Source organism: Homo sapiens, chromosome 5 (assembly GCF_000001405.40).
Source record: "Homo sapiens chromosome 5, GRCh38.p14 Primary Assembly".
Taxonomy (NCBI): Eukaryota; Metazoa; Chordata; class Mammalia; order Primates; family Hominidae; genus Homo; species Homo sapiens.
Window position 1 is genome coordinate 127,213,556 of NC_000005.10, and position 17,554 is coordinate 127,231,109.

General features: G+C 41.6%; 2 protein-coding genes across 2 annotated transcripts in view, besides 2 other annotated features; one reads left to right on the forward strand and one right to left on the reverse strand.

Moving 5' to 3' along the window:
- Positions 1-4,965: 4,965 nt before the first annotated feature.
- LOC105379198 (uncharacterized) lies at positions 4,966-16,829 on the reverse strand. Its single transcript, XM_041680488.2, has 5 exons — positions 16,825-16,829; positions 16,160-16,392; positions 15,686-16,106; positions 15,296-15,363; positions 4,966-5,797 (listed from the first exon to the last, which is right to left on the reverse strand). The coding sequence occupies exons 1-5, from the start codon at positions 16,827-16,829 to the stop codon at positions 5,400-5,402; spliced, it is 1,125 nt and encodes a 374-aa protein (XP_041536422.1). The 3' UTR covers positions 4,966-5,399.
- Positions 15,717-16,136: a silencer, noted in NCBI's record as "silent region_16291". NCBI's record gives its function as "represses an Ori minimal core promoter by ATAC-STARR-seq in GM12878 lymphoblastoid cells {active_cell/tissue: GM12878}" and the evidence as "EXISTENCE:reporter gene assay evidence [ECO:0000049][PMID:35858748]".
- MEGF10 (multiple EGF like domains 10) overlaps positions 15,745-17,554 on the forward strand; it is a 231,923-nt gene continuing 230,113 nt past the window's right edge. The window contains exon 1 of the mRNA XM_017009987.2: positions 15,745-16,341. The gene's annotated coding sequence lies outside the window, so the exon portion shown is untranslated. The remainder of the gene's footprint in view (positions 16,342-17,554) is intronic.
- Positions 16,287-16,346: a silencer, noted in NCBI's record as "silent region_16292". NCBI's record gives its function as "represses an Ori minimal core promoter by ATAC-STARR-seq in GM12878 lymphoblastoid cells {active_cell/tissue: GM12878}" and the evidence as "EXISTENCE:reporter gene assay evidence [ECO:0000049][PMID:35858748]".

The window sequence follows — 17,554 nt, forward strand, 5'->3', positions numbered from 1 at the left end:
AGTGCATGTGTCTTGTGGTAGAATGATTTATTTTCTTTTGAATATATACTCAGTAATGGGATTGCTGGATCTAATGGTAGTTCTGTCTTAAGTTCTTTGACAAACCCCCAAACTGCTTCTCACAGTGGCTGAACTAATTTACATTCTCACCAACAGTGTATAAGCATTCCCTTTCCTTTCCTCCTCAGCCTTGCCAACATCTGCTGTTTTTTGACCTTTTAATAATAGTTATTCTGGCTGGTGCGAGATGGCATTTCATTGTGGTTTTGATTTGCACTTCTATGATGATTAGTGATGATGAGTTTTCTTTTTTTTTTTGAGATGGAGTCTCACTCTGTCACCCAGGCTGGAGTGTAGTGTTGTGATTTCGGCTCACTGCAGCCTCTGCCTCCCGGGTTCAAGTGATTCTCCTGCCTCAGCCTCCTGAGTAGCTGGGATTACAGGTGCCCACCACCAGCCCAGCTAATTTTTTCATATTTTTATAGAGAAGGGGTTTCAACATGTTGGCCAGGCTGGTCTAGAACTCCTGACCTCAGGTGATCTGCCCGCTTGGCCTCCCAAAGTGCTGGGATTACAGGTGTGAGCCACTGCACCCAGCCGATGAGCATTTTTTCATGTTTGTTGGCTGCTTATATATATATATTTTTTGAGAAGTGTCTGTTCATGTCCTTTGCCCATTTTATAATGGGGTTATTTATATTTTTCTTATTGGCTTATAAGTTCCTTATAGATTCTGGATATTAGACCTTTGTTGAATGCATAGTTTGCAAATATTTTCTCACTTTCTGTACGTTTTCTGTTTGCTCTGTGACAATTTCTTTTGCTGTACAGAAGCTCTTTAAGAAGTTTAATTAGGTCCAACTTGTCAATTTTTGTGTTTTGTTGCAATTGCTTCTGGGGACTTAGCCATAAATTATTTTTCAAGGCCAGTGTCCCAAATAGGGTTTCCTAGGTTTTCTTCTAGGATTCTTATAGTTTGAGGTATTGTACTTAAATCCTTAATATATCTTGAGTTAATTTTTGTATATGGGGAAAGGTAAGGGTAAAGTTTCATTCTTCTGCATATAGCTAGCCAGTTATCCCAGCACCATTTGTTGAATAGGGAGTCCTTTCCCCACTGTTTATTTTAGTAGACTTTGTTGAAGATCCAATGGCTGTCGGTGTGTGGCTTTATTTCTGGATTCTCTATTCTGTTCCATTGGCCTATGTGTCTGTTTTTGTAACAGTGCTATGCTGTTTTGATTACTGTAGCCCTATAGTATAGTTTGAAGGCAGGTAGCGTGATGCCCCCAGCTTTGTTCTTTTTGCTTAGGATTGCCTTGGCTATTTGGGCTCTTTTTTGGTTCCATGTGAATTTTAGAATAGCCAAACAAGAATCTTAAATGGGCCAGGCATGATGGCTCACGCCTGTAATCCCAGCACTCTGGGAGGCCAAAGTGGGCAGATTACCTGAGGTCAGGAGTTCAAGACCAGCCTGGCCAACATGGTGAAACCCCGTCTCTACTGAAAATACAAAAATTAGATGGGCATGGTGGCTGAGTGCCTGTAGTCCCAGCTACTTGGGGGAGGCAGAGGCAGGAGAATCGCTTGAATCTGGGAGGCAGAGGTTGCAGTGAGCCGAGATCACACCACTGCACTCCAGCCTTGGTGACAGAGTAAGACTCCATCTCAAAAAAAAAAAAAATAAAAAAAAAAAAAATAAAAGTGATCAAACATTAACTTCACTGGTGACTTAGGTGTTATTTGTTTAGGACTCTGTTCTGGGGACAGTTGGGAGAAATGAGGGACCATAAGAGTCTTAGACCAGGTTCTGGCATCAGTACTGACAGGAGACCAATGGCAGCAAGCACAGTCACCCTTGGGCTATGCGTGGCTTCTATTTATTTGAGGGTCTTAATACTATGGTTTGAATATGGTTTGTTTGTCCCCACCAAATCTCATGTTGAAATTTGATCTAGTGTTGGGAGGTGGGGCCTGGTAGGAGGTGTTTGGGTCATGGTGGTGGATCTCTCATGAGTGGCTCAGTGTCCTTCTGGGGTTGTAAGTTCTATCATTTTCAAGACTGGCTCAGTCCTCAGGGGAATGGATTAATTCCCTCAGGAGTGGGTTGTTATAAAGCCAGGATGCCCCATAGGTTTGAACATGCCCGCTTTCCCTTGGACCTTCTCTACCATGTTTTGACACAGCCCAGAAGCCCTCACTAGAAGCCAAGCAGATGCTGGCACCATGCTTCTTGTACAGGGGGCAGAACTATGAGCTAAATAATCCTCTTTCTTTATAAATTACCCAACCTCAGGTATTCCTTTATAGTGACACAAAGCAGACTAAGACATTTGGGATATTAAAAAAATATTAAAAATTTCAAAACAGGATTCCAAGTGTGGCAGACAAATCAATGCTTTTAACACCAGAAGTCCCACAAAGACTCTGTAAAATCTCATTTGAGGAGGAGCTTAAAAGCTTACATTTGAGGACCCTTGTAAGAGTGAGGCCTGAGCTAACTGGCCTGGCTCTTCCTGTGATAAGCATGGGCAGCCAGACAGGGGAGCTGAGCCTGGGTCTTTTGCGAACACTTAGAAGAGGGAGCAGAGATGATTTGGAGCTTTGGCTGCAAGAAACAATGCCCTGAAAAATTATATCTTAGACAAGATAGTTTATATCTTGCTCACACAAAGGAAACCTGGAGATAAGGCAATCCAGGGCTGGTGTGGCAGCAACAGGGCCAGAAGCAGGCACTGGTTTTGCTGTGTTCTGTGTGTGGTTTCTATTCTCAAGGCCACCTCACAGTCCAAGAATTCTACCTGGGTCTAGCCATTATATCGCCATTCCAAGGCATGATGCAGGAAGGTAAGAGAAGGAATGTACCCCCTCCCTTACAAGAAGATTTCCTGAACTTAGCATGCAACACCTCTTCACACAGCTCGTTGGCCAAAACTAGTTATATCCTAAGCTGACTGAGAGGGAACATGGAAAATATAATCTTTTAGCTAAATAACAATGTATCCTGCTTTAAAAAATTCAGGATTCTTTTATAAGAAAGTAGTGGGGAGAGGACTTAGGAGGCAATGAGCAGTAAATGCCACAACCAGTAATCCTTATGTCTGCCTATTTCACAAGTTCTTGGTCCAATCTCACATTTACGTTCCCTCACTGCCTGGACATCTGACATATCTCTGCTCTAGCTGTTTTCTCTGTATTTCTCTCGACTGTTGTCTTCTACTGATCTGATTGCCAGTATATAGATAGAATCTTAGTCCACAAAGCATGGTAGATTAGAAATGGGATGTTACGATATCACAATTCTTTGTACCCACTCTCTTAGAGAATTCAATTTCTAGTTTTCTTTGAGGACCCTGCCCAAGAGACCTTACCCAGCACCAGTAATTAAAGTGGTTTCACTGTCAAAGAATAAACATATTTTTTCTGTCTCAATTGCTTCGATGCCTCCTGCAATCAGTGTGCAGTAGATGACGTATGTCTCACTGATCCCTGCTTCATTCATGGATATAGTTTATGCTGGCATTAGTCATCTCATGCAATTCTAGGACTTCAGAGTCAGTCAACTAGGGCAGTGGGGTAATGCGTTGCATAGCCAATTGGTGCTTCACAATACAATTGTTTTGGTGGAATATCTAGTTCTCCAGGTAAAATGTCCTTGCCCTTCTTAGTCTCTACTGATTTTAATTGAATCAGTTTAACCACATAGATCTATTTTCATTCCAGTATGTTTGCAGACCACCAGGAAATGGAATCAGGAAGAATAAAGTGCCATCTAAGAAGAATGTAGAGTCAGGGCAGAGGTAAGGTTGCTGAAATGTTGCATTCTCCTTGGAGGGGACAGACAGGCTGACTGCCCAAGCATGAATTGCAGAAATGCTGTGTAGGTGGGAGTGACCACTTGGTGGCCAGCTGTCAGGCACACAGCTGAGCCTCAGCTCTAGAATAGCCAGGACTCCTGCTGGCTGTCATTACAGCCCCAGTCATCCAGTTGCTCCACAGTATGATTTCTTTAGTGGGAGAGAGAGGGAGAGGTAGAGTTTTAGTTTTGCTTCTGGGAATTTCACAACAAATTCAGTATGCTCAGGGGATACTATCTGAATATTATCTGTCAGTGTGATAGGCCAAGAAAATTGAGAACTGTGGGTTTGGAGAATTATAGTAATCTTGATTTGGGCTTCATCAAGGCTCTTGACAAGTTTACCCATGATATTCTTGAGGATGAGAAAATGTAGCATGTTTGAACCTGATTGAATTAGCATACTCAATAGGTGCTGATTAATAGAGATGGGTATCTAATGGGGGGTCACTAGCTCTGCCCTTGCTTAATGAAGATACAGAAGATATGCTAATCAAGTTTTCAGATAACATGAAATTGGCAGTGATAGCTAATATGCTAGAGAATAGGTAAGAGAATCAGGATCTAAAAACATCTCAGCAATCCGAAAAAAATGTACTGAACCCAACAACAGGAAGGTTAGTGGGGAATAAATGTGATATCCTCTCTGGAATCCAAAACGTCAAGTTCACACATACATGTTGAAGAAGAGATTCTTAGGTGCACTGTTTGACCAGGATTTCAACTGGCATTCGTTCATTTTTATACCCTCGATTTACAGATTAAGAAACAGAAACTCAAAAACATAAGGTGCTACCCTTACATGGTCCATAGAAGGCACAGTCAGGATTGACTAAGGCTGAAGTTCTTAGCCCCTGCTCCGTCACCTGGAGCCAGAACTATCACTTCCCTATTTTTATGAATATTCATTAATTCCTTTATTCATTGGTCAACAAATATTTTTCAAGTCTTATCTTTGTTTAGTGCTTTAATGATATTCCGGGATTTAATGACGAGTAAGACAGACACAATTAATTTCCTTATGGAAACAAATAAATATTTTTTATTTAAAACTGTTTATTAACAATTAAATATTTCTTATTTAAATGTTTCTTAACAATAAAGGGTGACACATACAATGGCAGAATAAAAACGGTATCCTATGTAATGCATCAGAGAATTCAGGGATGTTCACCTTGAGAGAGTGACATTAAGGCTGACATCTGAAGGATAAACAGGAGTTAATCTACCAGGCAATGGGGAGAGGAAAGAATATTTCAATATGAAGGAACAACATGTGTAAAGACCTGAAGGCAAAAAGACATAAAATACTGAAGGAATGGGAGGAGGTTCATGACAACTCTGGCATAAAGGTTATGGGGTATATAATGAGTGATGAAACTGGGGAGGGAGGACTAGAAGGATTGGAGAGGGAGGCCTTGAAGAGTTTTGCAATGCACTTAAAGACATTGGATACTATTTTCATGGGCTGTGAAACCATAAAAAAGTTTTAAGCAAAGAAGTGACTTAATCAGATTTTCATTTTGGAAGGTTCCTACTGGCTTCACTCTAGATGAGGGAAGGGCAGGACAGGGGCAAAACTAGATGCCTGGTGACCTGTGAGGAGGTATTGCAGGCATTCAGATGAGAGATGTTGGTGGCCTTCACTAATGAGAGTGCAGATGGAAAGAAGTGGACACATATGAAAAATATACAGTAGAGAAATCAAGGATATGGTGATGGTTTGAATGTGGAGGCAACAGAAGGATTCAAGGGTGACTCTCAGCATTTGCTCTTGAGATGACTGAGCTGATCGTGAAGCCATTTTCTGATTTTGGGAACAGCAGGAGAGGAGCATATTTGGGAGAGCAGGTGATGTATTCAGCTTTGAACATGTTGAGTTTGAGGCAACCAGGACTTGTCCACGTGGTTGGTGTCCAGTAGGCAGTTGGATATAAAAATCTAGAACCCAAGACAGAGGTGTAGGCTGAAGATACAGATTTGGGAAAAAAATCCCTAAGAGCCAATAAAAAGAGTAAATTCAGTCCTTCCTCATATTCGTAAAAGTAGGGAAGTGATAGTTCTGGCTCCAGGTGATGGTGCAGGGGCTAAGAACTTCAGCCCTAGTCAATCCTGACTGTGCCTCATATGGACCATGTAAAGGTAGCACCTTATGTTTTTGAATTTTAGTTTCTTCATCTGTAAATTGGGGGTATAAAAACAGCTACTGTATAGTGTTTTTGTAAGAATGAAATAAGATGATAAAAAATAAAGCACCTAGCAGAGTACCTGGCACACAGTAAGTGCTGAAAAATTAATAAGCATTATTATTGTTGTTGTTGCTATTGTATTTTACTTGTTGTTTGGGTGAATTTACTTTAAGAGGGCCAGGTAGTCAGTGCTTTACTGAGAGGAGGGACTGAAATTTTGTCACATGATGAATGCTGAAAGAGCCTAGGGTTGGTCAGCTTGCTGTGCAGGAGGTCTGAGGCAGCAGCTTTCAATTACACTAAGGAATTCCAGAAGAAAAAGAAGATACACAGAAATTAACCCTCCTAAGACTGAGCCAGAAAGAAATGGATTCCCTGAACAGACCAATAACAAGCTCCGAAATTGAATCAGTAATAAATAGCTTACCACCACCACCAACAACAAAAGCCCAGGACCTGATGGATTCACAGATGAATTCTACCAGATGTACAAATAAGAGCTGATACCATTCCTACAGAAACTATTCCAAAAAATTGAGGAGGAGAGACTTCTCCCCAACTCATTCTTTGAGGCCAGCATCATCTTGATACCAAAACCTGGCATAGACATAACAAAAACAGAAAACGTTAGACCAATATCCTTGATGAACATTGATGCAAAAATCTTCAACAAAATACTGGCAAATGTGCTCAGTTTGGCAGCACATATACTAAAATACTGGCAAACGAAATCCAGCAGCACATCAAAAAGCTAATCCACCACGATCAAGTAGGCTTCATCCCTGGGATGGCTCAACATATGAAAATCAATTAATATGATTCATCACATAAACAGAACTAAAGACAAATACCATATGATTATCTCAATAGATATAAAAAGGCTTTTGATAAAATTCAACATCTCTTCATGTTAAAAACTCTCAATAAACTAGGTATTAAAGGAACATACCTCAAAATAATAAGAGCCATCTATGACAAACCCACAGCCAACATTATAATGAATGGGCAAAAGCTGGAAGCATTCCCCTTGAAAAGTGGCACAAGACAAGGATGCCCTCTCTCCCTACTCCTATTCAATACAGTTTTGGAAATCCTAGCCAGAGCAATCAGGCAAGAGAAAGAAATAAGGTGTATTCAATTAGGAAGAGAGGAAGTCAAACTATCTCTGTTTGCAGATGGCATGATTCTATATCTAGAAAACCCCACAGTCTTGACCCAAAAGCTCCTTCAGCTGATAAGCAACTTCAGCAAAGTTACAGGATACAAAATCAATGTACAAAAATCACAAGCATTCCTATATACCAACAACAACGAAACTGAGAGACAAATCAGAAATCAAAATCCTATTCACAATTGCTACACATAAAAAATAAAATACCTAGGAATACACCTAACCAGGGAGGTCAAGGATGTCTACAATGAGAATTACAAAACACTGCTCAAAAAACTCAGAGAAGGCACAAACAAATGGAAAAAACATCCCATGCTCATGGATAGGAAGAATCAGAATCATTAAAATGGCCATACTGCCCAAAACAATTTACAGATTCAATGCTATTCCTATCAAACTACCAAAACATTCATCACAGAACTAGAAAAAATTATTTAAAAATTTATATGGAACCAAAAAAGAGCCTGAATAGCCAAGACAATCCTAAGCAAAGAGAACAAAGCTGGAGGCATCACATCACCCAACTGCAAACTATACTACAAGGCTACAGTGACCAAAACATCATGGTACTGGTACAAAAACAGGCACATAGACCAATGCAACAGAATAGAGAGCCCAGAAATGAGGCCACACTTCTACAACCATCTGATCTTTGACAAAGCTGACCAAAAAAAGCAATGGGAAAATATACCCTATTTTATAAATGGTGCAGGGATAATTGGCTCTCCATATGCAAAGGATTGAAACTGGACCCCTTCTTTACACCACGTACAAAAATCAACTCAAGAAGGATTAAAGACTTAAATGTAAAACCCAAAACTATAAAAACGCGGAAGACAACCTAGGCAATACCATCCTGGACCTAGAAACAGGCAAAGATTTCATGACAAAGACACTAAAAGCAATCACGACAAAAGCAAAAATTGACAAATGGGACCTACTTAAACTAAAGAGCTTCTGCACAGCAAAAGAAACTATTATTAGAGTGCATAGACAACCTACAGAATGGGAGAAAATATTTGCAAACTATGCATCTGACAAAGGTCTAGTATCATATATAAGGAACTTAAACAAATGTACAAGAGAAAAACAAACAACCCCATTAAAAACTGGGCAAAGGACATGAAGAGACACTTCTCAAAAGACGACATACATGTGGCCAACAAGCATATTAAAAAAAGCTCAATATCACTGATCATTAGAGAAATGCAAGTCAAAACCATAATGAGATACCATCTCACACTAGTCAGAATGGCTATTAATAAAAAGTCAAAAACAAAAACAAAAACAACAGATGCTGGCACTGGCAAGGTTGTGGAGAAAAGGGAACTCTTATAAATTTTCAGTGGGAGTGTAAATTAGTTCAGCCACGTGGAAAGCAGTATGGCAATTCCTCAAAGAGCTAAAAGCAGAACTACCATTTGACCCAGCAAGTCCTCCAGATATATACCCAGATGAATATAACACATTTTACCATAAAGACACATGCATGCAAATGTTCATTGCAACACTATTCACAACAGCAAAGATATGGAATCAACCTAAATGCCCATCAATGACAGACCGGACAAGAAAATGTGGTACATATATACCATGGAATATTACGCAGCCATAAAAAAAATGAGATCATATCTTTTGTGGGAACATGGATAGAGCTGGAGGCTATCATCCTTAGCAAACTAACACAGGAATAGAAAATTAAATACTGCATGTTCTCACTTATAAGTGGGAGCTAAGTGATAAGAACTTATGCACATGAAGAAGGAAATGACAGACACTGGGGCCTATCAGAGGGAGAAGGGTGGGAGGAAGGAGAGGAGCAGAAAAGATAACTATTGGGTACTAAGCTTAATAACTAGGTGATGTAATAACATGTACAACAAACCCCTGTGACACATGTTTATCTATGTAACAAAACTTCACATGTACCCTCAAACCCCAAATTAAAAAAAAAATAGCCAGGTGTGGTGGCACCCACTTGTAGTCTCAGCTACTTAGGAACCTGAGGTGGGAGGACTGATTGAACCTAGGAGGTTGAGGCTGCAGTGAGCCCTAATTGTGCCACTGCATTCCAGCCTGGGAGACAGAGTGAGATCCTGTCTCAAAAACGACAACAACAACAACAACAACAACAAAGGTAGAATTATCCCCATGGGACCCTAGAAGGGGAAGTAGGATGAACCAAAAGGAGTTTCAGAGAAACCAACCTCAGCTAAATATAGTGGGAACCTTCTAATAGCCAAAGTGCCAAAGTTCTTAGGATAGAATAGTTTTTTGCTTTTGTTTTTTTCAGAAGTACAGACTTCCTCATCTCTAAATTAAATTAAATTGCAGTTAGAAGAGTGATACCTACTGTTGGAGGTGAGGTTGGATGTGGCCTTGCTAACTGCAGAGCTAGGGCCTAGTTTGAATGAGGTGTTTACTTAGGGCCTGGCGTCCTCAGCATGTTCATTAAAATTTATGAACATTACATTACAACATTCATTCTCACACTTGTTCTCCAACCATAAAAGAGATTATTTTCTTCACTGAGTAGGGCAGGGGGTTATGATTTTTTATAAGCAACCCCTCCAATAGCCTGTACTGTACAATCTCCCAGCCTCTAAGTCCCAAATGTACACAACACAGCCACACGGGTAAGGGGCACAGAACTGTCCGGGAGTGCTGCTGAGACGTTTTGTTTTCCACTTACCCCTCACCCCTGAATGCATCATTATCCCTCCCCGGCTGAGGTGTCTCCTTCCCATCAGCCCTTCCTCCAGGGTCCAGCTTCAGGAAAGGCCCCATGCTAAGTAATAAATAAGAGGCGGGCAGGATTTTAAATCTCACCACCCTGGGTTTATTCTCTGATAGTAAAATGGAAGAAAAATAGAGTGAAACCTTCATGATTTATGGGCTCCCTTCCCTTCGGAGGTTTTCCAGTTGCATCTTTGTGCTATGCTTGACATTTATGATATAAGGTATTGATATCTGCAAAGAAGAGCTGCTGGTGCTAATTATTCAGACCTGCTGACAGTGAACTGGTGAGCAGCACTCATATGTCAGATCCCATCTACACATTAAGTCTTTCACTTAAAATAGGTGGGAATTATGAGGCACTATGGGCTTTAGCAGTATAGATTGTGCAGAAAGTCTATAGGATATATTAGTAAATCAACTATGATAGGGCTGCTGAAAAGCAAGCCAATACCTGTCTGATAAATAGAATCCCCAGGAAAGTCTTTGATTTAGGAAATGTGCCAGAGACATAAAATGATATGAGGGAGGGAAAATGCAAATGATGAAACTAACTTTTCCTACTTCAGAAAGGAAAATGTTTGCCTCTCCTTCCAGTCCTTCAGGTTGTCAGATGTGCCTTGTTTCTAGCAGCTATTTGTAATATTAATCATTTTAACAGTATCAAACAGACTGGGTTTTTACACTTGATAAATTTTTGATGTTGAACCTTTGAAAAATGCAGTGATGTGATTTTTTTTTTCTCCAGAGTTTCTCCCCAGAAGCCAGTGTTAATTTGCAGATGCCAACACATGACTAAATGGTTTTATCTCAAAAGATTAATCCACATTAAATTAACATAGGACCAAGGCCTCAGAATTGTATAGCCTTTTGTTGTGAGAGATTCCAGGCTTTGTGACTCTGATAGACAGGCTGGCAATTGTCTCCTCATAAGGGATGGTAGCTGGTTAATCAGTCAGTCAGCCTGGTAGACCCAGTTATTGCCTACCTAACAGTCAATGCCCTCTTCTTCTTTATTAAGAACACCAATTTTGTTCAGGGAGCAATGTGCTCAGCTCCAGATGATGAGATATGATAGATCTGCTTCCGTTCCGGTGAACTAAATTCCCTGTGATTGGTTCAGAGGTGAGGAAGTGACCTAATTCCGGCCAATGAAATGCAAGAGAAGGATGGAAAGGAGCTGAATGGGTTGGAGGAGGAAGGGATGGTGGCTTCCAGAAAAGAAAATAAAAGGTGATCATCATGTGGAAGTTAGTCTTTTTTTTTTCTGTAATTTCCTTCCAGAGACTGCATGTGGCTGTGAGAAAACTGGTTCCTGGAGCCAGCAGCTATGTTGGGCTCTTGAGTGGAGACCATAGCCAGAACTTTGGGTGGCAGAGCAGACAGATGGGAAGAAACTGAGCCCTTGCTGATGTCGTCAAGCCACCAAATCGACTGCAGTCAGTTCCTTCTGCCTACCTCTAGATCACTTTTTAAACAAATAACAAATGTCATGATGCAAGCCACTGTTAGTAAAGGTTTCTGTATGCTGCTGCTGGAAGTATTTCTAATGATACAGCCAATTTGCAAGCCTGGAAATTGTTCTTTCTCTCTTAAAAAAATTCATGTCATACACAGGGCAGGGAACATCACACACTGGAGCCTGTTGTTGGGTGGAGGGCTGGGGGAGTGATAGCTTTAGGAGAAATACCTAATGTAAATGACGAGTTGATGGGTGCAGCAAACCAACATGGCACGTGTATACCTATGTAACAAACCTGCACTTTGTGCACAGTTAACCTAGAACTTAAAGTATAATAAAAAAATTTATGTCATACATGCATATGGTAAAGCAAAATGTTGAAAAATATATCATGGTGTTAAATAGCAAGTACAAGTATTATTCCGAGCTCCCAGTATCCTCCTCAGAGGCAACTACTTTTAATTGCTTCTGTTTCAGTCCTCTGATGGTTAGACTGTAATTTAGGGTAATTTGCCTATTCTTCTATACTGAACACATTATTTAGACAGTATATATTCCTTCCCTACTTTGAAAGAATTTATTTTCTACTATTCTCCACATGTATTACATTTCCTCTACAGCTACATTTATAGCTTTAAATCAATAAGTGCCACTTTTCACATTTTTTACTACATTATATATAATTAAATGCAGAATTAAGCGGTTTAATCCCCAGAAAATGGAATGTAATCCTATGTCACTAAACTAGTCATAGAAGCATGTTCTAGGCATTGAGATCAAATGGATTCTCTTTCTTCACACTCAATTTCTTCAAAATCATGCCACACTTTAGTTCATATTTACACACTGGTTCTTGAAACTATTTTTTTATCCAAAATTGCTAATTGTCTTACATTTTTCTTGTTGCAAACAGAAACACACGTGTTCTTCATGATATCACAAAGACATCAGCTTCTTAGTTATACTATTGTTGAATGAAAAAAACTTTCTTAGAAGATATTATTTTCCTAGGTGTCTGATTTCCTATCCTAATTTGGTCAATAACATATTCCTACAGAACTGTGAAAAAGGCATTGTTCCATTTTCTTCTGGTGGTATTTCAAATGAGAAGTTCAATGCCAATTTTATTTTAATTTTTCTGTAACTTTTTTCTTGACACTCTTTAGCATTTTTCCCTGCCCTTCTTTAGTGTTTAATTCCATAAGAATGAATTTGAGAGTATCTATATATTTACTCTGCTTCATATAGAACCTTCAATCTTTTTATTTTCAGTTCTGGAGATTTTCTTCTACTTTTTTTTTTTAGTTAAAAATAAATAATTCACACACCATAAAATTCACCCTTTTAAAGCATACAAAGAAACGGTTTTTTTATATTTACAAAGCTGTGCAACCATCACCACAATCTAGCTTCAGAACATTTTCATCACCCCCAAAAGAAATCCCACACCCATTAGCAATCACTCACTCATTACCCTTTTCCCCCAGTCCCTGGAAACCACTAATTTACTCTCTGTCTCTATGGCTTTGCCTGTTCTGGACTTTTCATATAAATGGAATCATACAATATGTGGCCTTTGTGCCTTTGTGTGTGGTTTTTCTCACTCAGCATAATGTTGTCAAGGTTCATCCATGTTGTAGCATGTAGCTCCTTTCCTTTTTGTGACTGGATAATATTTCATTGTATGTATATACCACATTTTGTTTATCCGTTCTTCACCTATGGTTTATTCAATGATTTTCTCCTGCACATTTTTTTTTCAGCTTTCTTCTGACAGTTCTGTTAGGCGGGTGTAGGACTTCTATTGATTCTCTGATTGTAACTTTTGTTTCATACTTTCTATTTCTTTTTACTCATCATTTTGGTAGATTTCCTTGATTTCATTTTTCAGTGTTTGTGTTACAGGTAAAATTTTTTAGCAGCCATATTTTTATGAGACTGAAGCGCTACCGACTGAGCTAACGAGGCACTTTAGCCATATTTTTAATTTCCAGTAACCCTTTCTTGTTTTCTGGTTGTTCCTTTTTTATAAGAAGCCTCTTTTGGGCTTGATGCAGTGGCTCATGCCTGTAATCCTAGTGCTTCAGGAGGCTGGGGTGGGAGCATGGTTTGAGGCCTGGAGTTTAAGACTAGCCTGGGCAACAAAGCAAGGTACCCATCTCTACCAGTACTTAAAAAAAAAAATTAGACAAGCATGGTGGCACGTGCCTGTAGTCTCAGCTACTCCATAGTAGGCTGAGGTAGGAGGATCCCTTGAACCCAGGAATTTGAGGCTGCAGTGAGTTATGGTCATGCCACTGCACTGGTCACAGTAGTGTCATGACTTTATTTCTGCCTTATTTCTTTACCATAAATGTCATGTGGCTTCGCAAGGGGGAAGTGAACTTGTGTGCCTGGCATGCCATCCTGAAGTGTAAGTCTTCAAGGATCCAATGCATAAGAATCTATGGTACATCCAAGAGGTCGGCAAATAGTCAAATTATCAATTTTATTTATCTTTTCTTTTCTTTTTTTTTTTTTTTTGAGACGGAGTCTTGCAGTGTTGCCCAGGCTGGAGTGCAGTGGCATGATCTCGGCTCACTGCAAACTCCACCTCCTGGGTTCACGCCATTCTCCTGCCTTAGCCTCCCCAATAGCTGGGACTACAGGCGCCCACCACCACGCCCGGCTAATTTTTCGTACTTTTAGTAGAGACGGGGTTTCACCGTGTTAGCAAGGATGGTCTCGATCTCCTGACCTTGTAATCCACCCGCCTTGTCCCAAAGTGCTGGGACTACAGGCGTGAGCTACCGCGCCCGGCCTGGTCCTCTCCTCTTTCTTCTTGCCAAGAACTTCACAAAAGTATATTTCTCTCGGATGGCCTTCCTTCTGGTCACAGTAGTGTCATGGCTTTATTTCTGCCTTATTTCTTTACCGTAAATGTCATGTGGCTTTGCAAGGGGGAAGTGAACTTGTGTGCCCAGCATGCCATCCTGAAGCGTTAAGTCTTCAAGGATCCAATGCATAAGAATCTATGGTACATCCAAGAGGTCGGCAAATAGTCAAATTATCTGGATGTATCTGGATGTCTTCTTAAGTGAAATAATTATTCAGAAAAAAGAACAAGTTCCATGACTCACACTCACATCACCATGTACTTTGGCTCTCTTCATTCAAGTTTTTTTTTTTTCAGTAAAATAAAGTCCTAATTAAAAGAAAAAATGAACAGATTCTCACAGGTAGTTTCAGGAAGTATCCCAAAGACACTTAGGTATTGACATCTTCGAGAAGTTTAGCTTAGTTTTTTAGCCATTCTGTAAATATGGCCTGATAGTAGGTTACCTCCCCAGCTTACATATTTGTGACATGGATGGAAGCTACAATTTAATTTTTAGCTGCGTGGAACCTGAATCAGGGCAGCTTGACCTGGGTCATAAAGAAATTCAAAAGGGACTCAAGACGTTATATTAAAACCTACTAAAGTGGATATAAAAATATAAAACACATGCCTCACCTCAACTCCCACTAATTTTTTGAAAGAAATTCTTTAGAAAAGGAAAATTCATTTAAAAACAAAACTAAAACACCCATTTATCTTTCCAAGGCATAAATGACCACTATCTTTCACTTTGGGGCTTTTCTTTCTCTCTCTTAAAAATTCAAGGGGAGTTGGAGAGGCTATAAAAGTCTGTCTTTGGGTTGGAAAAAAAGGGAAGCTTTCTGTAGGCAAAAATCTCCAGCGGGTGGGCTGCAGTCTCCTCCCCGTGAGATCTTGCAGGTATAATATTCTGGCAAAAACGACTTTTCATTCCGTGAGAGGGACGGAAGACAGTGAGGACATCACAGCTTTCAAACCTCTTGTTGTCCACCGTCCTGGAGTGGGAAGGTGGTGAAGCTCTTACATTCGCTTGCCTTTTGTTTCTTCTGGGTCTTCGCTGTGATCTCTTTCCCTGTCCCCCGCCGGCCGCACCTGGACACAGTAAAGGGCCACAGTGAGGGCTCTCAAGCTTTGGAGCCGCTGAGTCATCTGATCTTCATCGCGCTAAGCTCCTGACAGATGTTACACAGGTCAGGGATGTTTGGGCAAACCTCTCACCGTGGCGTTGGAGTGCAGTCCAGCTCTGTCACTAATGCTTAACCTTCCTATGGGCTCAGTTTTCTCACTTGTAAAAAGGGGTCCCTAATACTTGCGCACCTTACAGGAAGTAACATAAGCCAGGGTATTTGTGAGTGCGTTTTGGAAAGCATAAAGCCCTCTTGCAAATGTGAGATGTTATTATTGCTTCCCTTACCCTGGCTCTAGTTCCAGCCCGGGGCCTGCCCACAGAAACCAGCTGTTCCTGTTTCCTCTGTGTCCCGCGGTAGCACCGAGGAGGCTGGTGCACTGGGCTCCGTGGTTCCCGCCCGGGCCCGCCGCAGCCGGCTCTGAGGAAGCGGCTCTGAGGAAGCAGCGCACCGCCAGCCTCGTCCTCGCGCCGGCGACCCTGGGGCGGGTCACCTCGCCGGGTCGAGGCCTCCCGGGCAGGCCTGGCGGAGGGAGGAGCGAGGCCTGCCTGCGGGAGACCCGGGGAGGCGCGTCATGTGCAAAAGGGTGAGGCTGCCAGGAGCTCACGCGCCGAGGAGTGAAAGAACGGGGTGCGGAGGCTGCTCGAGGGGAGGCGAGGCGGCGGGGAGGCGAGCGCGAGCGACCAGGAAGCAGGAAACCCGGGCAAGCTACCTATGCCCTTTACGGCACCTGTTTATTTTCAAGTGGCTTCCTCCCTCACCTCCTCCGGGCGTGTGTATCAGCCGGCATGGCGTCTCTGCCCCATGCCCTGGGCCGCCAGGGGCCCGCAGGCTACGCGGGAGGTGGAGCGAGGGGAGCGAGCAGCGCACCCCCCTCTGGGGGCCGAAGCAGGGACGCCCAGGGCGCAGGCTTTCGGGCTGGACCTCGAGAAACGTGTGCAAAGTATGTGTTTTTGCTTGACACTTGGAGAATTCTGTTTTTTTGGCTTTATTCCTGAAAGCAAAAATGGGCAATTGAGATAAATGAAAAAGAGAGGCATCAATAAGAAAAACGAAAGAGTTCATCAGTGAATTTTTATGGCATCTAAAATTTTAGTTTTTGGTAATTTAGTTTTAGGCAGCAGATGAGACTGTAATATCCCTTGTAGTTTGTCCATGTCGTTCCCCAAGTGTGAAGTACTATGGCCATCGGCAGCAAAAAAGCGTATTGGTGGGATTTCAGGGGATGAGAGCTCTCTCATCAGCAGCCATTCCATCCCATTTTCTTCTCAGGACTGGTTTTTGCTGTTCACTTTTTCCCCTTCCTAGCCCCATTGATCAGGGAAAGGGGTGGAGCTGGAAGGCAGGGAAAAGTATGCGTCAAAATTAAGCTCCGATATTAAAACCCTGGTGTTGAAACCCCGGTGTCCCCAGGCTTGAAGCTAACTGCATGGCGCTCACCCTTTAAATGGTCTACATCCAAGCGGGAAGGCAGAGAGGTCCAGGACTAAGCGACCACCCCAGGGAGGGAAGGACACAAGTGAAATCTGCTCTGGGAGTCCCAGATCTTAGTTCATCCTTGGAGAAAAGTCCTAGAGCCAAGAGACTTAGAAAGTGAGATGAATGAAAGAAAGAAAATAAACAATTGTTGGGTCTGTCAGGAAAGGAGAATGTGGGACTGACCAAGAACGGTTATATTCCAGGCTCCTTACATATATTATGTATCCCTCCCAGCAGCACAGTGAGGCAGGCCTGTTTTGTGATTCCATTTTGCAGATGGGGAGACTGAGGCACGTGGAATCTGTTTGCCAATACCACGTAGGTTTGTGGATCTTTGATTTGAATGTCAGCCTCTGTCATTTTAAATCTTGTGTTATTTTCTTAATGGGAAGCAAGAAAAACATATTTGTGTCCTAATAACCCAATAGAACTGTGGTATTTTAGTGCCACTTATTCAGTCCCTTTCAACGCCTTTATTTCAAAGTTGAAGAGGCAAAATTGCCCAGAGTTGGGCAAGGCAGGCTTGGAATGCTGTCCTGTGTCAGTGAAGGGCACCCACCATCCACCCAAGCCTTTTAGCCCAAATCTGGACACTATCTTGGTGACTCCCCACTACCTCTTACACGGGATCCATTTGTAAGTCCTATAAGCTTCAGCTCTAAAGAACTGAATCCTCC